We start from the raw sequence: 26,503 nt of genomic DNA, 5'->3' as shown, positions 1-26,503 counted from the left end.
TGCAAACACATGTTAGCAAATGGTTGAGAACTATTAAAATCAATCTGTTTGTAATAGATTACTAGGGACTTTTAACAACTGAAGGATCTAAAAAAGTATCTTTTCTAGTTATACCTCTCTAGTTCCTTCAACTGGTCCTCTACAGCAGTTCTGGACTCCGTTGTTCTACAGTTTGTTAACATGCCTTCAAAATCTGAATTGAACACAGTGCTTAAGATAAGGTCTAATGAATACAGAATATGGTAAGATTGTGAATGCCCTTGTCCTGGATTTACTCCAATTGTGTGTGTGTGTGGGGAGGGGTGGGGGAGTTGGGGGGTTTGGGGGGAGAGAGAGAGAGAGAAACAGAGAGGTAGGAGTAAAGAAATGCTAGAATAAAACAGCAGTAAAGAAGATCAAAATGTGGTTGATGGAGTGTTTCTTAAAATATTTAGGGGCCCAATGAGATAGAAGATTAACCTTACTTGTCTTTTATAATTTTGAGATTCAAACCCAAGAAAATTGAATTTCTCAAACCTGAGAGATAAGTTTGGGACTAGAAAAGGAAAGGAAACTTTGGAAAGTCAGAAGCTGCGTAGATGTAGCAATAATGTAGGAAGTGAAGGGCAGGTTAGCCTCAGCTTGGGAGGATCTGGGTTGTTTGTGGATAGCACTCATTTTCTCTGGGTGCTAGGTGTGCGATTTCCTCCCCACTCAGGACATTTTGGATGCTGGATCTCTTCAGGAAATCTTCAGTGTCATAGTCAAGACTTTTCCTCACCCCAAATAATTCATTTTTTTGGGATTTGGAATGTTTGCTCTTTCTCATGGTGTGGATGCAAGGAGCTGGCAGGAAGATTCTGGAAGTAACACCCTGTGCGAGTGTCAGTTTCAAAGCTTGTTTAATGGAGTCAAACATGAGAATCTCCCTACAGAGTAAAACTTAAGTATCGACAGGGACTGAAAAACAAATAAATCATAGAGTGAAGAGTAACAGCACGAGTAGGTGGAAATTCCTGGAGGAATTCAAGAGCAATGTGTAGATATTTGTGGCAGATTTCTAAACATGGTTTTGTTTCTCTGAAAAAGTGTAGTTCAAGTTCAGTTTATGAAATCATAGCAATATAATGCTTTGTACGGCACATAGGTGGATCAGACTAATTCAGAGCTGTCAGGTTAGGGCAGGTAACAGGATTATGCTTTCGTTGGTGCAGCTTGGGAATGCCCTTTCCATTGAAAGGCTGTCCTTCTGATGAACTGATCTGCTTACTCTAGAGCACTTTTACTATATTTCAATTTCAGCCAATGTAAGTCCAAAGTAACACAAGTTCAAATGTGCACAATTAAAAATCTTTAATATTTTTATGTTGAAAGTTCAAAATGAACTTTACAAGAGCAGAAAAATGAAGTATTAGAAATTATAAATTCAGAATTTGCCATTTATGTCTTCTACAAAAAGTGGAGAAATATAATTACTGGTTAATGTTCGTGATGACAGCTTAAGAAATAAGCCTACTATTTTCAGTGCATCCTATTTATACTATATAGTGTTTGCCATTTGTTCAGAGGGTGGCTCTTTTCAATATATTCTAGAAGCAAGATAAACTCTTGGACACTGGGGTGAATTGTCTGGTGAAATGTATCCAGTAGGCAGTGGTTTGTGCCAGTGTTTGGAAGAAGACTGGCTTCTGCTCCTGCTTTCCATGGACGCTGATCTGTCCCTCTTAGCCTTTCAGGTCTGTCCTCTCTGCCTTCATTTTCTTCCAAGCTTCTTTGCAGCGCATTCTCAGTCTGTCTTCATACACTCATTGTCCGCATCTTGGAGTGGACGACTCAGAGACTTGACCAGTCTCCCGTCCCCTCTGGTTTGCTGCCAATTAGAAACAATCTAACTTTGGTTTCTGACTTGTGTGAACCCAAAATATACCGACAACAAAAATTAGGAAGAGATTACTGAGCATTGAACACTATTGTTAGCATAAAATAAACCTCAGTAGCAATTAAAGTTAGTTACCAATTCTGTGTGCATTTATTCAGATGATTTGCTTTAAAGATGTCTTTAATTATAATCATGGTCCTGTTATGCTATAAAGTTTAGTCACTAACTCCCAATCATTCTTAGTTCCCTTTTGGTAGCTGCTTTAAATCCATTCTCTTGGCCCTTCCAGAAAGTCGGCAGTGCTCTCAGGTTTCAGATCTCCAGCATGTAATTGAAAAAACCAGTGGTCCTACTTGGTTTCTATTTTCTTCTGAGCACTTGGTGGATTGTCTTGTCCTTCCTGACTAAATTCTGGGGAATTCATTCAAATCTTATTGTTTCCACCAGTGTATTTGGGGTAACATTAACATAGGAAAGTGTTCTTTTCCCGGAAAAAAAAAAGGAGACACTCCACAGTTGTTTAATTTGCACTGAGATGAGTCTATTAGCTCTTTTGTACTTTCACATTGTTTGATCTGTGAAATTCTCTAAGGATGGGGTTAAGGGCACGTCCCTTTGAAGAGGATTTGCACTGGCTCTGTCAGGCAGCCCAGGCACTTCTCTAACACAAGACTGCTTTGTTATTTTCTTAGCTTGGGTCTCCTGGACCACACAGGTAGGGTAAATTTAAATTACAGACCTGGTTTTATGCTGAAATAGACATGTTCCTGTCATCAATTTTTGTAGGTGACTTGTTTTTTTTCTGTCTGCTGTTTCACTGAAGGTATAGCAGTTCAAGAGCCCCCGGCTCATATTAGGACAGCCTTTGATTTTGTTTCCTGGCTTGCAACAGATCTTAAAAGCCAGATCTCTAGGTTACTGAGATTAGCAAATGCTGAACTCAGCTAAACTTTAAATGCCAGTTTATCACTCTGATTTAGGATTCCCTCTGTTTTTTTCTTGATTTCTCTTAGTTTTGGCAAGCTTGCCTATGCATTTAAATGGGGTTGTTACATATTTTTTTTTAGCATTTCTGGATGTCTGGTAGAGAGAAGATTTTCAAGATATGTCTCGTCTACCATGCTTTCCTTTTATATAAGATAATGTTATATACTCATTTTAGATAAAAGTAAATGCAATAAAATGTCAAGGAAATTGGAACTTTAGCATTTCCTTGTTATCACAGATGGAAAGCATCGTTTGCTTCTTTAGATGCGGAATGCTTTGAACATACAAGGCCCACTGATGTGCAGTTGCAAAGCTGAAGCCTGTTTCCAATCACCTAATCAACTCACTATCCCTTATTGTTTAGATAAGCCTGTCCTGTTCTGCCATGTGCAAAGTATATAAATTTTCTACTATAGAAGTACAGAACAAACATACTTGTGCCACATTTCCGGTTTTTTTTTTCTTATCACAGAAATTAAAATGGTTTTTCTGTAGATCACCATTGAAATACTTTTTGTCTTATTCTTGAAACAAATCTATCCTCAGGACTTACGTGGTGTCTGGTGATTGAGGGCAGTAGATGGCTAGGTAGTGAATCAGAGGCAGGGAACATTTTAAAAGAAATAGGTACCTCAGTCAGCTGATAGGAGAGACTAAAAGAGCGCAGAGCTCAGAATTAGCCTGCATTCCTTCTCCCTGCTTTACCAAAGGAGTCTCCCACTTTTCTCATTCATGCTTCAAATGCATATGTGGACATAGCATTCAGACTGATGTAGTAGATGCTCAATAAATATTCAAAGAATAGATGGATATAGTTTTTTTTTCCCAACAGGATTTATCCAAGCTAAAAACTACCCTAATGTTCATTTTAACCAATTTTCACTTAGATAAAAATTATAGGGTGAAGTTTGGGAAGGATTATATTGTACAAGCTTCCCATATCTCATACTTTCCTAAGAAGTAGTTCTGCCTCTCTGACTGTAACCTTTTTGTAACCTATAATTTGTGTAGTGGTTAATGAGATATATCTGGAGATGCTTTGTAAGTATAATTTACACAAATATATATTTTTATGAGGCATGCAAATTTAAACAATGGTGTCCTTGTGACTTAGTCAAACAAGGAACTAGAATAAAATACAAGGCAAATGTTTTTCTTTAGGATTATGACACTATATCTTAAAACCTCTGAAAGATATGATAATGCAAATAAGATTAGATAAAACAAGTTTAGTTTTGTAGAAAAGGCAAAGAATTTTAAAAATTGCAATCCCAGAAGCTTCAGAAACCTACTTTGGTATGCTTTCCTCCATACAAAAAGTGTTGTTTAATTCCCCCTCAAGTCTGAATATTTGAGGAGTTGCTTTAAGAACTGTAAAACTAGTGCATCAACTACATGCTTTTTGCAGATATGGAAAATATTTTCTTAAAACATTTTTACACAAAGGAAAAGTAATTTTGCCCAAAGAAAATAACATCCAAAGGAAAATGAAGAGTGATTGGTGTTATAAGAAATATAATCCTGGAGGCCTGGAACTACATAAGGCATCCTGAATGTACAGCGTGGGGCCAATAGAGATTACACAAATGATTTTTATAGATGAAGCTGAGCAAAGGGGCAGAATGGGAAGAAGAACAACGGGGACCGAGACACAAGAAGGATGACTTTTGTTTGAAAAAGAAAATGTTCAGGGCATTAAAAACACATGCCCTTTTTTTACCCCATAACATTTTCAAACACTACAGAAAATAATATCTAATAAACCGTGAAGCTTGTTTTAACTCTTTTAAAAACTTCCAAACAAAGGAACTTAGGAAAAATGGCATTCTAGTTATATTTTCCCCCAGATCAGTGGGAATTTATTTCATCTTATTGCTTTTCCAAGTGAGTAGGCAGAAAGTAAATAGAAATGTGAAATTTGTATCGATTGTTTGCTTTCCTTATAACCTTTGCCAAAGAGCTTTGTGAAGGCAACTTTTCTAATAAGGAAGGTATTTTTATATTTAAATGTTGGTTGTCTGTGTAGGAAGTGGAAGAGCTTGTTTCAGAGACTGCTTCTCCAACCCCATTTTAAAGCAGAAGTTCCATCACGGACATTTAGAGGTTAAAGGAAATTTAGATAATCTAGTTCAAAGCTTTCATGTAATGAAGAAAGAAATTGATCTCTTGTGCGTTGCCCTGAGCCACACAGTAGCTGAGATATAGCTGAGTCAAAAACTCAGGCTGCCTAACTCCTGCGTTCTGTGTACTTTAAGGTCCTCATTCCCTTTCTGGCTTACTTCTGGTTGAAAATCAGATAATTGTGTATATCTTACATTCTTATCTCAGTTTAGGTAACAGCCTAAAGTTTTTAGGCCCTTGTGTCTTTGTATCTATCTCCTCTTCTTCTTTCTCTACTAGAAAAACATGTGACAAGATGCTGTGGTTACACGAATTCTCCCCTACTCTTGCTTTATTTTATTCACTGTAATTTATTCCATGTTGAGACTCTGGTCTTTTCTCTTAAGTGGTATTAACATGGTTTCTATTTGAGTTGAGTAAATGGAATATTATGCTTCTGAATCTAATTTTTCTGCCTCAAATGATGCAATTTGAGCATCATTCTTTAAAGACACACGATATATGCTGCCTTCTTATAATGAAATATCTGAAAGAAAATATAGATTAAAGAATGATTATTATCATTGAAAATGATTTATTTTACAAAAGAATTCTATAGGAATTCCATTAGTTAATTCTTCTAGTTTAAATGTCTGAAATTCAGTTTATGCCCAGTATTCAAGTACATGACATAAAGCAAAATACATTGGCTTTATACATTTTATGAATTTGCTTTATGAATTTTATGCATATTGAATTTGATGATAATTAAAAAAACACCCAAGCTTTTCTAAACAAAGAACTCCAGCAGCTCAAAAACACTTGTTTTATCTGATAACATAAATAATAATGTACTTAATAATATATTTCTTATTATTTTATTTTCACTTTCTGCCAAGGCCCGGGGAAACATTTAAATTGCTTATGTGCATGTTTAGAAATACACCGGAAAATCAAACATGCCTAAGAAAAAGGGGTCAAAAAACTATTGTGAAACAGTGGTAACTAAGGAATATTCCACTTAGATCTGTTCCAAGTCAAGCAGTGTTCCAAAGGGACCAAAGGGACCATGTGGCTTTATTTTTAGGCTGCAGTTCATTGACTCAGGCTGTCACTTCTGCTAATTGGCATAGCTGCTCTTAGCCTACAGATGTTTTATAGGGCCTAGATAATGGGAAATTAAACGTTTTATCTGTCACTCTGGAAAAAATAAACTGATTACTCTGTCAAGAAGACCTTGCCCAGGGTCAAGCTTTATTCTAAGGTGGACCACAAGCAAAATTATTTGAAGATACTGAGATTCACACAGTCCACACACACAGGGATTCCCTTGGCCAATAGGTGATGCATTAGTCAATAAAAATGCAACAGAGATTTTGGAGGCCATACTTGAAATGGGAATGTGAGGATTAGAAGACCTTCCAGGTACAATCAGTCTAGTGAATTAATTAGTAGGTAGCTTGGTCTCTGAGAGGTTGAGACATGAGACTATCAAATGGCAACAGCCCATGATATAAACCAATGGAGACAAAGGATTGGCAAAAAATCACTGGAGGTTGCTGTGGGAGAGAGGAAACACTTCATGATTGATGAAGACACCATGGTACACATGTTTAGAAGGGTTTAGAACTCAGGAATAAGAGAGACTGGTCTAGCTTCATGTGCATGTGACATGTCCCATGGTAACACAGGGCCAGAATTTGGTTTTAGGGCTCTGTTGTCACTGTCTTAATATTCTTGATTTTGAAACAAAGGACCTTTCATTTTCATTTTGCATTGGGCATCACAAATTATTTAGCTAGTTTTGCTGGAAGGGGACATAAAGCTAAGGGATAGATACCAGAAGAGAAATTTTGTGTACATTTTAATTTGGGTTGTGGAAAATTGTATTCTCTATTAAAGGGTTTAGAGGAGTGCATTCAAATAATACTCCTAACAGTTGGATAAACTGTCATGAGGGCATTTGGCTGTGAAGTTGCAATGAGTGGAGAGGCATTGACATTGTTGCTGATGGTGACGTTCCTGGGTGAGTAAAGGACAGTGTTGAGATTCACAAGCCAGGAGTAATGAGGTGGTGGTGAGGGAGGCAGAGTCAGGGCTGGGGTCTCAGAAGCCTACTGCACAGCAGTAGCAGCTGGGTGAGAAATCTCTAACAAGGGTCACTGAAGTTGCTTGGGCAATTGCAGTTGATCTAATTAGGAGGCTTGATGAGTAAATAGAATTTAGAGAGTTGCACTGTCCTTGTTCACTGGCACTGAAGACAAAGTCACTTGGCTGTCAGTGTTCCAGATTAGTTATCAGAATGATTTTCCATACTAGCTTTCCTCTAACAACAAACAGCTTTAATGTGATAGTATCTGTCAAGTGCTCTCTGGGTCCCTGAGAGATAGGCTCTTTATCAGTTGCTACAGTAGCCTATTCTTTCAACAGAAATAAGTCAATTTGGAGTCCTGCAGAGTTGCCTAGGAAGATATGGTTTGGAGTTTAGGAGTTCAAGTGTTCTAGTTTGTAGTTCTCTAGAGAAATAAATATAGTAGCTCCTCCTCCCCAGAAAAGCTATAGTATATTATCTAGTTATATTTATTTCCTGACAAAATTAAGGATGGATTCAGACGCAAGACATTAGGTCTCTCAGATACTGCAGATGGGCACTGTTTAATCTAGAGGATTCACAAAAATGATAGTTTGTAAGCTCTGGGAGCATTGCAAACAATTTAGGTTGACTCCTTAAATTTTCAAATGACAAAATCGAAAGAGAGAAGGGTTGTGCATGGCCCAGGTTTCACAGCCGAGTATGTAGAGTCATATCTAGTGACCGTGTCAGCTGCTGGGTCAGGGTTTTTGTCTGCTATCATACAGGTTTGTTATGGCTATATTTGAAGAGTTTTGTTTCATTTTGTGTTTATAGATGCACCCAACACTATTATGAAGTATTTATTAGTCAAAGTAATAATAACAATAACTACCGTTTACATAGAGCATGAAATGGGCACAATGAGCTAGGAACTTTACCTAATCTTTTTAACATCCTTGAGAGGCAGATTCTATTATCTTCATTTTTCAGAAGAGGAAATTGAGACTTAATATCATATGGCCTTTAATTAGATAAACTTTAGGAAGTCTTCAACCTTCCAGTAGTTTTTGGCAACTATTCATCTCTGAACAGACTCCAGAACATTAGTGAATGCTGTCCCATTTTATCCTCACTGAGCAAAATCTAGGGCACTAATTACAAAGATATTTATCTTACAACATTAAGGTTTTGTTGTAAGGAATCATTATGAACGCAATCATAGCTATATTGGGTCCTATATTGGCACATTAGAGATAATTTATAATTATTTATATATATATATATATATATATATATATATATATATATATATATGCTACAGCTGTGAATAAGCAGAGGAAAATCAGCGAACTAAAGTGAGAAATTTTTTGTATTATTTAAATTAATTAATGATATTTAATTTTATCTTTTTTTCCAGTTGATGACATAGAAGACTTAATTTCCTCCTCATGATTAATCTCTCAGTTGGAGAGTATACACACTCTTACACAGAATCCAGGTGAGACGAATGGGGAATTAATAAGAGCTAGGAGGGTACCATTTTTATAGAAATATAATAGTAACATATATATCTGCTAACTATCTGGGAGACATACCCAAGAAAAATATTTTGATTATAAGAAAGGACAATATTTGAAATCAACTTAAGCAGAGCTGACTAGAAATGGAAGGACACCTAAGGGAAATAAAAGGTTTTTCTAGGTTACAACTTGCTCAAGTCATGTAACATTCAGGCTAAAGGCAAGCAAAAGTCAGAACATATACATTCACCCCTCTGCTGGGAGCAGAGAAGAGCAGAGTGGAAGTCCAAGGAGTGTGGTGGATGCCAGTCAGGGGAAGTTGCTGTAGCCTGGTGTCACCTTTATCCTGCAGCTCTTTGCCAACCCTCTTCAGAGACAGAGAGCCTATCCCCTGAAATGAACTCAGGGCCCTACTGTCAACTGCTGTCATTTACGTTAAGCAGCAAAGCCATTAGACTTAATTTACCTAAACTCTTCCCCTATAGCATTCTTCCTCTATAACATTCATGGTCTGCTAAGGTTGCTATAAGCAAAGCAAAGTATAAAATAGCACACAAGTTCCTGTTTGACAAGTGAAATACCAGTTTCTTATCTCTCCCCAGGGACCTCTTATAACGAGAAATTGGCCTTGTGAGTTTTGAAACTTTTCCATTCACAACCCTGTATGTCTTTTATTATTTTGTCTTTTAAAATTAGCATGCTATTTTAAAAAATACAGAAACCAGGCTTTAGAAGCACAACAAGGGCATCTGCTTTGCAGAAACTACTTATTAGTCCCTGTCTCTTCACACTGAATTTTCAGTTGCTGCCAAAGTAGAAAAATATGCAAATGCATGACCTGTGTATCGAGTATGTTTTTATCTTGAGGCTTTCCTATATATCTAAAGGATAAATATTTGTTTGTAGATTTGATTGCTGTTTCTCTACAAGAGTGTGCTTGTGGATTCTAGAATGTGGTATAGCCTAGAAGGCATGATAATTCTGTAAGGTGATTATATGGTAGCTGGTACCTTGCATTGTTCCTTCATCACTGAATCATCCAATAGATTTTATTGTTAACAATGACCACAGTTTGTATATACTGAGTTTTTGAATTTAGGTGGCAATTTGAAATTATTGGAAGAATGAGTCTTCTGATTTTAGAGGTGCTCCTCATTTGTACCCTAAAGACACTCTTGTCTTTATTTTTGCATTACTGTGCTTATCACCAGGTACAACATTTGCATGCTGAATTGTCTGTCTCCTTCACTGGACTCTAAGCAATTTGAGAATAGGCCTTGTGTCTGTCTTGTTCATTATTGGGTCCTTGGAACAAATTAGTGCATGGCCTTCAGTGGGTACTTAATAAATATTTGTTTAATAGAATCAATACTTTTAATCCAACTTTTTAAAGTACCTTTAATATGACAGGCACTTTAAAGAGTGCCTTAAACACATTTTCTCACGTGATCTTCACAACAACCATATGAAGTTGTTATTTCAGTCTTTATATTGGAGAAAAGGAACCTAAACTTCAGATGGGGTAAGCAGCATACTTAGGTCTTTCACCTGAGCTGTGTAATTTGGGATTAGGACTATGTGACTTCAAAGCACATATCTTATTTCCTATACCACACTGCTTTGTGTATCAGAAGGTAGAGTGATATAAAAGTCACCACAGATACTGATGGGAACTTGCAAAACATGAGAGATGGGGAAGTTTGTAGATATATTGGCAAAGGAGTATTGGCAGAGAGAGTTAGCCCCTTCAAAATTTTCACAGAGAAATTCTTTTCATTGACTACAAATATTTCTTGCTCCTTAAATAAACCAGAAAAATCTTGTTTGTTCATTATTTCTGCAGTTTGAATTGATACGATATACTTCAATGTTGTAGTTATAAATAAGGATGGCATAACCATTACTATTTGATTTAATTGACATTATCAAGCAAGTACTTTCTGAGAATGATTTTGAGTGGGATTGAGGATTGGGGCAGAACAGTGAATGCAGGTAGTATCATATATCTCTTATTTTCACAAGCTTACAGTATAATCGGTAATAAGATTAATCAAATTACTAGAAAGAGAACATAATAAATGTATTCAAAGTTGTACAATCTATAGAGGATATAAAAGGAATAAGAAATTAGATTTGTTTGTGGATATCAGAAGTATATTACTGCCGAGGTAGCATTGCAAAGGTCCTTGGAAAATGGGCAGCATTTAACAGTTTTATGTGCTGTCTATTTGAAGATGTATAAAGATATGGTCTCTTTCCTTAAGAAAGCCAAGATTCTTTACAATTTGGCATGTTTTTGCGGTGGCTGGTACCAGTTGTTCCTTTCCATGTTTAGTGCTTCCTTCAGGAGCCCTTGTAGGGCAGGCCTGGTGATGCTAGGAAGAAACTGCATCAACTAATGAGCAAAATAACCAGCTAACATCATAGTGACAGGATCAAATTCACACACAACAATATTAACCTTAAATGTCAATGGGCTAAATGCTCCAATTAAAAGACACAGACTGGCAAATTGGATAAAGAGTCAAGATCCATCAGTGTGCTGTATTCAGGAGACCCATCTCACTTGCAGAGACACACATAGGCTCAAAATAAAGGGATGGAGGAAGATCTACCAAGCAAATGGAAAACAAAAAAAAGGCAGAGGTTGCAATCCTAGTCTCTGACAAAACAGACTTTAAACCAACAAAGATCAAAAGAGACAAAGAAGGCCATTACATAATGATAAAGGGATCAATTCAACAACAAGAGCTAACTATCCTAAATATATTTGCACCCAATACAGGAGCATCCAGATTCATAAAGCAAGTCCTTAGAGACCTACAAAGAGACTTAGACTCCACAAAATAATAATGGGAGACTTTAACACCCCGTGTGTCAGCATTAGACACATCAACAAGACAGAAGGTTAAAAAGGATATCTAGGAATTCAACTCAGCTCTGCACCAAGCTCTGCACCAAGGACCTAATAGACAGCTACAGAACTCTCCACCCCAAATCAATAGTATATACATTCTTCTCAGTGCCACATCACACTTATTCCAAAATTGACCACATAGTTGGAAGTAAAGCACTCCTCAGCAAATGTAAAAGAAGAGAAATTATAACAAACTGTCTCTCAGACCACAGTGCAATCAAACTAGAACTCAGGATTAAGAAACTCACTCAAAACCGCACAACTACATGGAAACTGAACAACTTGCTCTGGAATGACTACTGGGTACATAATAAAATGAAGGCAGAAATAAAGATGTTCTTTGAAAACAATGAGAACAAAGACACAACATACCAGAATCTCTGGGACACATTTAAAGCAGTGTGTAGAGGGAAATTTATAGCACCAAATGCCCACAAGAGAAAGCAGGAATGATAAAAAATTGACACCCTAACATCACAATTAAAAGAACTAGAGAAACAAGAGCAAACACATTCAAAAGCTAGCAGAAGGCAAGAAATAACTAAGATCAGAGCAGAAATGAAGGAGATAGAGACACAAAGAAACTCTTCAAAAAATCAGTGAATCCAGGAGCTCATTTTTTGAAAAGATCAACAAAATTGATAGACCGCTAGCAAGACTAATAAAGAAGAAAAGAGAGAAGAATCAAATAGACGCAATAAAAAATGATAAAGGGGTTATCACCACTGATCCCACAGAAATACAAACTGCCATCAGAGAATACTATAAACACCTCTATGCAAATAAACTACAAAATCTAGAAGAAATGGATAAATTCCTGGACACATACACCCTCCCAAGACTAAACCAGGAAGAAATTGAATCCCTGAATAGACCAATAACAGGCTCTGAAATTGAGGCAATAATTAATAGCCTACCAACCAAAAAAGTCCAGGACCAGATGGATTCACAGCCGAATTCTACAGGAGGTACAAAGAGGAGCTGGTACCATTCCTTCTCAAACTATTACAATCAATAGAAAAGAGGTAATCCTCCCTAACTCATTTTATGAGGCCAGCATCATCCTGATACCAAAGCATGGCAGAGACACAACAAAAAAAGAGAATTTTAGACCAATATCCCTGATGAACATCATTGCAAAAATCCACAATAAGATACTGGCAAACCGAATCCAGCAGCATATCAAAAAGCTTATCCATCATGATCAAGTGGGCTTCTTCCCTGGGATCCTGGGATGCAGGGCTGGTTCAACATACACAAATCAATAAACACAATCCATCATATAAACAGAACCAAAGACATAAACCACATGATTATCTCAATAGACGCAGAAAAGGCCTTTGGCAAAATTCAACAGCCCTTCATGCTAAAAACTCTCAATAAATTAGGTATTGATGGAATGTATCTCAAAATAATAAGAGTTTATTATGACAAACCCACAGCCAATATAATACTGAATGGGCAAAAACTGGAAGCATTCCCTTTGAAAACTGGCACAAGACAGGGATGCCATCTCTCACCACTCCTATTCAACATAGTGTTGGAAGTTCTGGCCAGGGCAATCAGGCAAGAGAAAGAAATAAAGGGTATTCAGTTAGGAAAAGAGGAAATCACATTGTCCCTGTTTGCAGATGACATGATTGTATATTTAGAAAACCCCATTGTCTCAGCCCAAAATCTCCTTAAGCTGATAAGCAAATTCAGCAGTCTCAGGATACAAAATCAATGTGCAAAAATCACAAGCATTCTTATACACCAATAACACACAAACAGAGAGCCAAATCATGAGTGAACTCCCATTCACAATGGCTTCAAAGAGAATAAAATACCTAGGAATCCAACTTACAAGGGATGTGAAGGACCTCTTCAAGGAGAACTACAAACTACTGCTCAATGAAATAAAAGAGGACACAAACAAATGGAAGAACATTCCATGCTCATGGATAGGAAGATTCAATATTGTGAAAATGGCCATACTGCCCAAGGTAATTTATAGATTCAATGCCATCCCCATCAAGCTACCAATGACTTCTTCACAGAATTGGAAAAAATTACTTTAAAGTTCATATGGAACCAAAAAAGAGCCCACATTGCCAAGACAATCTTAAGCCAAAAGAACAAAGCTAGAGGCATCACACTACCCAACTTCAAACTATACTACAAGGCTACAGTAACCAAAACAGCATGGTAACGGTACCAAAACAGAGATATAGACCAATGGAACAGAACAGAGCCCTCAGAAATAATACCACACATCTCCTACCATCTGATCTTTGACAAACCTGACAAAAACAAGAAATGGGGAAAGGATTCCCTATTTAATAAATGGTGCTGGGAAAACTGGCTAGCCATAAGTAGAAAGCTGAAACTGGATCCCTTCCTTACACCTTATACAAAAATTAATTCAAGATGGATTAAAGACTTAAATGTTAGACCTAAAACCATAACCCTAGAAAAAAACCTAGGCAATACCATTCAGGACATAGGCATGGGCAAGGACTTCATGTCTAAAACATGAAAAGCAATGGCAACAAAAGCCAAAATTGACAAATGGGATCTAATTAAACTAAAGAGCTTCTGCACAGCAAAAGAAACTACCATCAGAGTGAACAGGCAACCTACAGAATGGGAGAAAATTTTTGCCATCTACCTATCTGACAAAGGGCTAATATCCATCTGACAAAGGGCTAATATCCAACATCTACAAAGAACTCAAACAAATTTACAAGAAGAAAACAACCCCATCAAAAAGGGGGCAAAGGATATGAACAGACACTTCTCAAAACAAGACATTTATGCAACCAACAGACACATGAAAAAATGCTCATCATCACTGGCCATGAGAGAAATGCAAATCAAAACCACAATGAGATACCATCTCACACCAGTTAGAACGGCGATCATTAAAAAGTCAGGAAACAACAGGTGCTGGAGAGGATGTGGAGAAATAGGAACACTTTTACACTGTTGTTGGGATTGTAAACTAGTTCAACCATTGTGGAAGGCAGTGTGGCAATTCCTCAAGGATCTAGAACTAGAAATACCATTTGACTCAGCCAACCCATTACTTGGTATATACCCAAAGGATTATAAATCATGCTGCTATAAAGACACATGCACACGTATGTTTATTGCGGCACTATTCACAATAGCAAAGACTTGGAACCAACCCAAATGTCCAGCAATGATAGACTGGATTAAGACAATGTGGCACATATACACTATGGAATACTATGCAGCCATAAAAAAGGATGAATTCATGTCCTTTGTAGGGACATGGATGAAGCTGGAAACCATCGTTCTCAGTAAACTATCGCAAGGACAAAAAACCAAACACAGCATGTTGTCACTCATAGGTGGAAACTGAACAATGAGAACACTTGGACACAGGAAGGGGAACATCATACACCAGGGCCTGTCATGGAGTGGAGGGAGAGGGGAGGGATAGCGTTAGGAGATATTCCTAATATAAATGATGAGTTAATGGGTGCAGCACACCAACATGGCACATGTATACCTACGTAACAAACCTGCACATTGTGCACATGTACCCTCGAACTTTAAGTATAATAAAAAAAATTTTGCAAGATAATATTGAGAAGGTCACATAGGACTTTGCGTTTTGCTAGAGGAGTAGTAAAAACTTCAAATATAGGTGGCCAGCAGTCCATGAGCCTGGGGATTTAAAGTGTGTTTATCTGGTCCCATAAATGGGTTAAAAGTTTGTTCCAAGAAAGGATCCAAAAGGGCTTGCAAGGATTCATAGGAAACTGCCCCAAATAATTTAAGTTTCTGTTCAGTTGATGTAGTTTTCTTGGGGAGTCAGAATGCTTTGAGTATGGACTCCATGAGGTTTGGAAAGGGAAAGCATTCTCCCCTGAAAAGTGGAGTAGATTGTTGTAATACACACCAAAATTGGCAAAGAAAAATCAGCCAGCATTTGTGTTGGGTTATATTGAAATCATGTCAGAGACTGTGAATAATTAAAACCACTCTCAAGGGAAGTTTGTTTTTCCTTCTTGCAATGCACATATGACTCTGGCACAGAAAATGTTTTACTAGTTAATTTTGCTTCATTTCCCATTTAAGATTTGTCACAGTAAATAATCCTTTCTCAAGTGGCAATATCCTGAACATAAAAGACAGTGAATGCTGTCTGGATATTAGGCAATCAGTCCCATAGTGGGATCAATCAGTTTCTCCTTAGATGAAAACTATAAAACACAATAAAGTAACACACATAATTAAAGAGTAGGAATGTTTCTATGGTGAGGATGTCCAGAGATGGTTTTGCTAATAGAAAAAAAATGGGATGTTAAAGATGTTAATTAGCCGTGCTATGGCAACAGCTTTATCCACAGTGCTAAGCTTCTCTATTTGCCTTACATGTTTACAGCTTCATGATGTTGGCTATGAAAATACAAATAGTATCAATATATATTTTAATGAAAAATTATCAATAAGTCATTTTTAATAGCTTTCATGAGGAGTTATTTACATACCATAAAATCATTCATCCTTCTTGTAGAAATTGAGATTTTATGTGTAAATATATAGTATTTGTGCAACCACCGCCACAATCCAATTTTAGAACATATCCATCACTCCTGTAAGATCCCACATATCCACTTCCACTCTCCACCCTCCCTGAGAGCCAGGCAACCACTAGTCTATTTTCTGTCTCTATAGATTTGCCTTCAACATACAAATATAGGATGGAGGGCATAATTCAACCCATAATATATTATAATAACAACAATTATAATAAATACTCATTTGCCATAGAATATACTAAGCACTGATCTGTAAGCCTTACAAATAATTTAATTAATTCTCATAACAAATCTATAAAATAGATACTGTGATTATCCCTGCATTATAGATGTTTCAAAATTGGGGCATAAAAAGGTCATACAGCTAGCAAATAGTGGATTGTGGATTGGGCGTTAGAATCCAGGCCATCTGGCTTCAATGTGTACACTCTTATACCCCAAAGTATACTGTACCACTCCCTAGGCTTCACAATCTGCCCAAATAGCCTTTACATTATAATGAAATGGAAAAACTCTTTGATGATGGACAGTTGACAACCCTAGTCTCTTAGGATGGCATTATGAAGGAAATTATATTCCTCCTTAACATGGAAATAAAGATTGAGAATGGTCCTTGATTTCTGCTGAAGAGAGAATACATTATGTGAGATGAACTGACTCATAACATAACACTTTTATTAGGTTGAACCATATGAAATTGTGTTTTTATAAGGTAAAAATGGTAGCATATGGATAACTTTATGTGGTTCAAGCTAATATCTTTACTCCTGTTTAAGCCAACTTTTATTGGCTTCCACGACTTGTCTTTTCTTGGTAGATCAAGTAGGCAAATCACTTTCTTTCTCTAAAAATTTCTTTACCTTTCCACACTCTACCACTCCCACCTATCCCAAACATCTGGGCAGCCAGACCTGCAGCTTCCACTGCTTCAGGGAAGGATGATACACAGCGTGCAGGTGATACACAACTACAACAACAAAATAGGATTACTGGGCTTTCAAAGTTCAAATGCCTAAATCAGAATATAAAATATAAATTTTGGGGGCAAGTAGAAATTTTTCCACCTCTGTTCCCAGGTTAAATAAAGAGTTTTAGTATCAGAGAAGGGAAAAAAAGTCTGAGTAGCAGCAAGAAGCTTCTTTCCTGAGAAGATGAGAGCCAGTTACTAAGCAATGGAATGTATTAGTTATTACTAATCCTTATAATAATTTTCCTCAGGAAACTAATATTTGTTACTTAGTTATAACACAGGGTGGCTATACCTTCCTGTCCCAGGCCAATCCTGGAAGTGGAGGAGGGTGAGGGATGACAGAAATGTGTCCTATTTTTTGGTTATTGCCATGGATCACATCAAGATGCCACAGTCCTCCCGGAACTCCATGGCTTAAGTTACATTGTGGTTTATTTCATAGCAAGTCTAAACTTACCGACAGAACATATGTCCACTTTAAAAAAATAAAGATTTTTGCACACTTAAATTTGTTAAATTTCACACACTTATTTTTTTATTTCATATATATATATTTTAAATTATACTTTAAGTTTTAGGGTACATGTGCACAACGTGCAGGTTAGTTACATATGTATACATGTGCCATGTTGGTGTGCTGCACCCATTAACTCGTCATTTAACACTAGGTATATCTCCTAATGCTATCCCTCCCGCCTCCCCCCACCCCACAACAGGCCCCAGTGAAATTTCACACATTTATTACTTGACAGATTATGGTTTTAAATTTTTAAATCTTAAAATTCAGCTGTTCTCTTTTTTTTTGCATAAAATAAATGTTCCAGGTTTTTATAGACATAGTGCTAAGGACTGATGTTTCAATATTTATAAGAAAGATTGTATTTATAATATATTTTATTGTAAGCTATAAGGTACTTTATGAAGCACTTAGATAAATATTTACAATATTAGGAATTAAAGTATTTTCAGATCACTTTGACTTTATGTATTAAAAAGTCATGTACTATGTGAAACAGTAGATTATACAGATAAATAAGACACAGTCTGTATGCTTAATTGCATTTTGCATATTTTTTATGACTTTAATCTCTATTTGCAACAATTTAGGCAGGTTTACAGATTAAATAAGTTCTGCATATACATGCTGATAGACGTGAATATAGCGAACAAGACAAAGATAGAGAGTTTTACTTGGGCAAGCTTGAGTTAAAGAGTTGCTAGATAAACAAATCCCAAATAAGCAACATGAATCATGGTCAATTATGACATATGGAAGCCCTTGATGTACAGATAACCAATTTTGGTGTTAGAAAGAGAAGGACCTATATTCCCAACTGAGTCATCAAACTATGTGCATGATTATGAACAAGTTACTTTATATTATAAATGTTAGTTTTCTGAGGAAAATTATTATAAGGATTAGTAATAACTAATACATCTCAAGTGCTTAATAATTGATAAATTTTATTAATATTATTTTGTTGCTGATAATATTTTCCCATGATAATGCCAATTCACTATATATACCTTTAAAAGATTAGTGATCATGGCCATTATTTGAGAACAGTGTTTTCACTTATAATGGAAAGCAGTATTTTATCTGTAGTTACCCCTAGCTTATGTACACTGTTGCTGTCAATTCAAGGAGATTGTAAATGAATGGGAAAGAAGGTGACTATTTTTATTTCCAGCAATGTTTTGAACCAACCAAGTAACTGAAAATGCTTCCATTACAAAACAAAGAGATTTTCTGGCTAAAATAGTTTTAAAATTATTTTAAATTCATGGTTGCTCTTACTAGTAAGAAAGGAAAATTCTCAATTTCCTATACAAAGTGGGAATTGAAAATCATAATGGTAGGATGGAAAACTGGAATTGTGACTCAGCCTGGCAAATAATCTTTTTTGTTTCTTTCCTGGTTAAGGAAAAAGAAGGAAGCTAGCACCTGGGGTATGATGCATGTACATGTGGGAAGTTTGTATTGAGATCCACCAACCCTCTAATCTGTGTTTTTCAGAGGGATAACCATCAGAAATAGGTTGAACTAGAAAATATCTTTCCAGTGGCATAGGAGACAACAAGAAAGCTTAGCTCTCTTGGCCCTGGGCTGCAGATGAAAAAAATGAAGCCTTCTGTGATAATTTGTAATCATGGTAATGGGATTTAAATTTACCCTATCCATGAGCTCCTAAAACTCTCAAGTGAGGAATCAATGTAAAAATAGTTTGGGCTGGTAATATCCTTGGGGCACCTAGCAGAAAGCAGACAATATATCCCCGGAATGACATCTGTAAACACAGGCCACACAAGACTCCTATGGATAAATCTATGCTGAAGATGAGCTTAATATCCAAAATTTACAAACACACAAGCAAACAAACCCTCATGAAAACATACCAGATTAAAAAAGAAGCGAGATTAGATTCCTAAGACCTTCAGCTAATAGAATTGCTGAATAGAAACTATAAAACAAAAATATTTAAACTGAATAATCTATTTTAAAAAAAGATTCTCAATTTTGAAAACAACAAAACCTTATTTCAAAAGATTAAGCAGATGTGAAAACAAAACAGATGACTTTTGGAGGTAAGAAATATAATCACTAAAAAACAAACTAGTGGACAGATTAAGCAACAGATTAGCTAAAGGAAGAATTTGTGAACTAATAGATGGACCTAAGAACATTATTCAAAAAATAGCATGATGATATAATAAGATTAAGTATGTAAGGTAATTTGGTGAGAATTTTCATATCTAATAAAAGATTAATAAGATTCACTATGTTTAAATCCTGAGCAGAAATCTATCTATCTATCTATCTATCTATCTATCTATCTATCTATCTATCCATCCATCCGTTTATCTATCTATACATCTATCTTTATATCAGTACCTCCACATGTTGATACAGCATGATAAAATTGTAGAATTTTGCCAAAGTAAAAGAGAAAAAATTAATAGTAATTAGACTTAAATAAAAGATTGCTTTGAAATAATAATTGCAGATACCTCAGCAGCAAAAACAGAAACAAGAAAATAATGGAAAATTTTATTCAAATATTAAGAGAAAAAACTACACATTCTGTATATATTTAAAGTTCTATACGTACTATTTGATTCTCAATGAAAGATTCAAATGCATATACTAAAGAAAGAAAAAAATTAGAGCTACAGGGAGATTGAGATGCAAAAAAGAAATGGTGAACAGAGAAAATGGTACACGTGGAGTTTTACATACACAACTATTGTTTGTATGAACAATAATAATAATTTCAGTGATATGAAAAAAGTGGAACTAAAATGCTGCCAACAATAATGAGAAGGTTAAGAGGGGCTTCATGAGAGTTAAACTGTCCTGGCATCCTTGTAGTGGGAATAAAGTAGGTATTATAAAAATAAACTTTATACTTTGCTATGTGTATATTCATGCCATAGTTTTGTGGGTTTTAAGGGTAAGGAAATCCCGCCACTCAATAACACAAAAGCCCAATTAAAAAGAATTGTATAGACATATTTTCAAAGAAGACATAAAAACATGTAACAGATATATGAAAAGCTACTCAGTGTCACTAATCATCAGGGAAATGCAAGTCAAAACCACAATGAAATGTCATCTCACACCTGTTAAGAGGCTACTGTCAAAGAACCAAAGACTAGTATTGGTGAGGATGTAGAACAATCAGAACCCTTGTACACTCTTGATGGGAATGCCAAATGTTGTAGCAACTATGGAAAACAGTAAGGAGTTTCCTCAAAAAATTAAAAAAAACTACCATGAGATCTAGCAAATTTGGTATTTAACCAAAAAAATTGAAATCAGGATTTTAAAGAGATATTAGCATTTCCATGTTCATTTCAGCATTATTCACAATAGCCTATATATAAAAATAACCTAAAGAGCTGAGAAAATGGATAAAGCAAATGTGGTATATACATACAATGGAATGTTATTTAGCCTTAAAAAAGAAGGAAATCCTGCAATATGCAACAAAATGGATGAATCTTAAGGAAATTATGTTAAGGGGAGTAAGCCAGTCACAGGACAAACACTGCATGATTCCACTTCTATGAGAAATAATCTATCTAAAAGAGTCAAACTTCTAAAGGCAGAGAATGGTGTGATGGTTTTCAGAGAGTGAGAGAAGTAAGAAATGGGGAGTTGCTAATCAATGGATACAAAGTTTCGGTTATGCAAGATGAAGAAATTCAGAGATCTGCTATACAACATTGTGCCTATAGCTAACAGTACACTGTATTGTATTGTACTGTACACTTAAAAATCTGTTAAGAGGGTGGATTTCATGTTAAGTGTTTACACCACAATAAAATGTAAAAAATAGAATTTAATCTTCAAAAGATGTCTTAAAAATTCCTCATGCGTTTAGAAACTAAAACAAAATAAAACAAAAACACACTCTAAATAATGAATGGATCAAACAGGGAATCAAAATAGGAACTGGAAAATGTGAATAAAAGATAATAAACATGTCGTGTATCAGAATTTGTGGGAGAATGCTTAAGTGATTTTTTTTTTTTTTAAAGAGACAGGCTGCAGCATAGTGGTGTTATCATAGATCACTGTAACCTTGAACTCCTGGGCTCAAGCAATCCTCCCACCTCAGGCTCCAGAGTAGCTAGGGCATGTACCACATGACTTTTTTTTTTTTTTTTTTTTTTTGACGGAGTCTCGCTCTGTCGCCCAGGCTGGAGTGCAGTGGCCCGATCTCGGCTCACTGCAAGCTCCGCCTCCCGGGTTCACGCCATTCTCCTGCCTCAGCCTCCCAACTAGCTGGGACTACAGGCGCCTGCCACCACACCCTGCTAATTTTTTGTATTTTTAATAGAGACAGGGTTTCACCGTGTTAGCCAGGATGGTCTCAATCTCCTGACTTCGTGATCCACCTGCCTTGGCCTCCCAGTGCTGGGATTACAGGTGTGAGCCACCGGGCCCGGCCCGCCATGACTATTTTTTTTTTTTAAAGTTTTGTACAGATATCGTCTGGCTATGTTGCCCAGGCTGGTCTCGTCCTCCTGGCCTCAAGCAATCCCCCCAGCTTGGCCTCCTAAAGTGCTAGGATTACAGGCATTAATGACTGTGCCAGGCCTAAAATGATTTTTTTAAGGATAATTTATATGACATTAAATGCTTGTATTTTAAAAAGAAAGAAAACTGCAAAATAATGAGCTATGTGATCAACAAAGAAGATAGGAAAACAGTACCAAAAAAACATATAAATCAGAGGGAAAGGAATAGTACACAGGTAAAAGCACAAATTAATGAAATAAAAACAACTGTCATAATTTAATAGAAAAGGAATACAAAAAGGGTTAAGAAACAAATTTGTTTCTACGTAAAAATAAGGAAGTCTTTCTGACAAAAGTGATATAGTAGAAATAGAGAGATGACCTTTAACAATATTAGGGATAAGAAAAGGTCATGGCTACAGATCTACAGTTCTAATAGATATGAAACAGAATCACAGGAGAATACTATGACCAAAAAATAAATGGTCATATTTCTACAAAAATGTCACTTAGCTGACAAAAAATAATTAGAAAATCTGAATAGATCTTTAACTATTATGGGAATTAAATGAAAATTTGAATATTTTCATCTCCTAGTGCATCAGCACACCTCCTCCTATGCCCCTATCTTCATCCACACTCACAAAACCACAAATCCAGCTCCAGCTAATTTTAGAGGAACCTTAATCAACTATGCAAAGGACAGGAAATCCAAATATGACATAAACTTTCCAAAGAATAGAAAATGAGTGTATCTCTAAACACATTTTATGAAACTAGTAAAACCTCTATATCAAAACCGAAGAAAGACAACATGAGAAAGGAAAATTATAGGCTCATCTTTAATATGCAAAAGAATACATTAGAACTAAATTGGGCTTGTTTTAGAATGCAAAGAAGTTTTACTATTATAAAATATTTTAGTGTATTTCATCGCATTAATAGATGAAAGTCATGTGATTATCCCAATAAGTGCAGAAAAAGTATTTGATAAATATGCAATACTGATTTACAATAAAGAAGACTAGGAATAAAGGAGAAATCCCTGAATCCTGTGAAGAGTTTCTACCAAAAACTTACAGCAAATGTCATATTAAGAATAAAACCTTTGAAGTACTGTCCTATTACTGTCATTGTTTCTATTAAATGTTTGCTGGAGGCCACACCTAGTGCAAAGTGCAAACAAGTATAACTATTAGCAGTGAAGAGACAAAATTATTATTGTCATAGGGAAGGCCTATCAGCTTACTAAGAAAATCTAAAAAGAACATATAGGCAAATTACTTGACACTAAAGAAAGTTTAATTACGCTGTTGAAATACAAGATTAACACGTAAAAATAATCTGCTTTTCTTTATATAGCATAAGCAAAGATAAAATATAGCTTAAACCATAGCATTTAAAATTGTGATAAAATTATATGGAACCTAGGAATAAATTTAACAAGAGATGTGCAAGAGTTTCTAGAGAAAACTTAGTAGTTTCATGAAACAGAGAACCTAAATAAATAAGGAGCTATATTATGTTCATGGAGGAAAATATTATAAATATAACTCTGTCTTCATTAACCTATACATTCAATGTAATTCCAAGCAAAATTACAGTAGAGCAATTTCCTTTGACTTTGACAAGTTCTTGCTATAATTCATACCTCAAAAAAGAGTAAAAAATAATTAAGACATTTTCCAAAATGGTGGAGAGAACCGATATCCAGGTTTACTCTAAAATTGTAGAAATTAAAATGGTATAATATCTGTGCAAGTAAAGACAAATAGAAAAATGTACAGCACAGAACAGCCCTACTCATATGGAAAAATAAAATACTACAGAGGTGAAAATCAGAGCACAATATGGATTATTCAATAGATTGATGCTGGGATGACCGATTATCTATATAGAAAAAAAAGCCCATGACCTCAGATACCAGCCTTACATTATACCCAAAACAATGGGTTAAAGGCAAAAATATTAAAGATTTAATTAAAAAATTAGTACAGAACCTGTTATGACCCTGAGCTACAGAAAGATTTCTTAAAGAAAAACTAAGGTATAAAACTTAAAGAAAAAGATTGGTAAATTTTACTACATTGAAATTAACAACTTCTGTACAAACAAATTGCAGAAGAATATTTACTTATATAAACATTTATATAATGTTTTAAAACATGTAAACCCGTACATGTATTGCTCCTGGTTATATGTAATAAAAATATAAAGACATGCAGGTGGATTATAAACTCTAAATATAGATAGTGATTTCTGATAGAGATGGAGGCAGGGGATAGGTATATGGGGTCTTAATTGTCTGTGCAGTATTCCATTTTTACTAAATAAAATATGACAAAATGTTAAGATTACAAAAATAAGTGATAGATCCATGGGTGTTTTACATATTGACTTACAATTTTTTCTATGCTTGAAATATTTAATAATCCACTTTTTTTAAAAAAAGAAAAAAATGAAAACTGAAATATAAGAAGAGAAAGATGGCAAGACAAAGATGGTAAGAATTTACGTGTGTGTGTGTGTGTGTGTGTGTGTGTGTGTGTGTGTGTGTGTTGGGGGTGCCTAGTGCGGAGAGGGAGGGATAACTATAAAATGAGTTCAAACGTTCAAACTATCAGGACTAGAGCTCTTCAGATGTAGACAGTGGAAGTCTGTGAGAAGACTTAATAGAATTATGCAAAATTATAAATTTCTAGAATAAAGTGAAAAATATATGCTTATTAAATATTAAGGAAAGATGCTAGTGGTTCCTTTTTCATTTTAGTGAAGCAACTTGAGGAAGCATTCAAAATTAATATCATTTTGTTCAATAGCTAATGAAATTACCAAACATTTCAAGATTGGGACTATAAATGAATTAAATATTAAGTACATATTATGAATTTATGATCTAAAAGAAAATATATGTGTCAGAAAAGCTGATATATATTAAACCTTGAATTCAGAATGGAGCATTTCATATTCTGTTGTGTTAGGAACAGGTGCCTAGATGAGGAAGGCCATGTGACTGACAGCAATTTGTAGAGTCTCACATAAGAAATTGCTCAAAAGGCCTGTAAATTCTGACCTTCTCATGTTACTAATTATAGAATTGAGGCACAGAGAGATTGCACAATTTGCTCAAGGACACAACTAATTTGAGGCACAATCAGGACTATAAATCTATGATTTCCATCCCAGGAATTTCACGTTAAGTGATTCTGCCTTACATTTTTATAAATTTAGAGGGTTAACTGATTACAATGCCTACATTCACTTTGAACTTGCATAATGTTATTTTCTTCCTTTTTAACTATGATTGATAGCTAATATATTATCTGACGATGTAAGTACAATTTTTAAAAAGTGGTCTTTCTTAATTACAGTTAACTTTTTTCAGAGTTTCTTTGTGACAGGAAAGAGAAATTTGATATATTTATTTTACTTTAAAAATGTGCCAAAATCCACAAAAGGAAACATTATCACTGTATTTATTTTAAAAAAATTAAAAATCATTTATATTGGTCAAATTGGGGATTTCAAAATATGCCCATTAGCCACTAGGTGTCATCATAGGCCATTGTAATTAAAAGCCAGTATGTAATTTCCTTGAAAAGTTAATAGCAAAATTTTTGCCGAAATATTGACCCTTTTATAGATCTAGATACATAACTCTATATTAATATATTTAATAAATATACTAGGGATAAAAAATATATTTAAATAAATATAAATCAAATGTTTTTATATTTGTATTGAATATAGTAATATTCTATATTTAAGCACTAGGTGGAAAGATTAATCAGAAATAGATTTCACATAGTTATTATCATAGCCCATGAATAAGAACTTATGATTATAGTACTGACGATTTTAGTGACGTAAACACTATGTTTAATCAATGTTAACTAAAATGACAACATTTGTCTTACCTTGGGATTCCACTTGCATGTTGCTTTGTCACGAAAGAGAAGGTTGCGGGTAGACACAAGATCAGCCGCTATTGGTTCTGTTTCAGGGTGGTGGAGGAACATCAGAGGCAATAGTTCTGCAGGCTTGAAGGACATTATTGGGCCTGGCTGACTGGAAGCAAATCAGGCATCTATTTACCCCTGTATGCCACTTTGTGATACTATGCTTCCAACTTATACAAAGGTTTGTTTTCTTCAAGTAAGATGTGAACTTGCTGGTTCTTGGCTGAACATGAAGGTGTTAGTTTTTAGAATGGATCTGTCATATTCCCCATGGACTTTGAGTATTTAGTCACTTGTTTCAGAAAAGGAAACAAGGACAGAAAAAGAGGTTTTGGGTTCTCTTCATCTCTACCATGGCATTTTTTGGTTCCTGTTTGTCATTCAATTTTATTTCTCAGTACCGAAACTTCTTGAAGAATCCCCTACCTTATAATATGGAGCCCATCTCCCATTACATAAATAAAAAATTACAAATGTTTCAGCCTTTCTTTTAGCTATGACATGGGCACATGCCATAGTACCTGCCAATCAGATGTGTCT

At 35.4% G+C, this 26,503-nt stretch overlaps 2 long non-coding RNA genes across 2 annotated transcripts in view; one reads left to right on the top strand and one right to left on the bottom strand.

Annotated features, from left to right (window-relative positions):
* Positions 1-1,307: 1,307 nt before the first annotated feature.
* On the bottom strand, positions 1,308-26,503 carry LOC107985241 (uncharacterized). The gene is made up of 2 exons (XR_001738348.2): positions 25,922-26,503; positions 1,308-1,849 (listed from the first exon to the last, which is right to left on the bottom strand). It is a non-coding gene; the product is annotated as an uncharacterized LOC107985241 (long non-coding RNA).
* Positions 6,825-26,503, top strand: part of LOC105371664 (uncharacterized) — a 115,921-nt gene continuing 96,242 nt past the window's right edge. The window contains exons 1-2 of the long non-coding RNA XR_002958418.2: positions 6,825-6,971; positions 8,437-8,517. This is a non-coding gene — a long non-coding RNA (uncharacterized LOC105371664). The remainder of the gene's footprint in view (positions 6,972-8,436; positions 8,518-26,503) is intronic.

The sequence above is a fragment of the Homo sapiens genome, chromosome 1, assembly GCF_000001405.40.
Source record: "Homo sapiens chromosome 1, GRCh38.p14 Primary Assembly".
NCBI lineage: Eukaryota > Metazoa > Chordata > Mammalia > Primates > Hominidae > Homo > Homo sapiens.
This window is presented reverse-complemented; position numbering and strand designations above follow the sequence as displayed.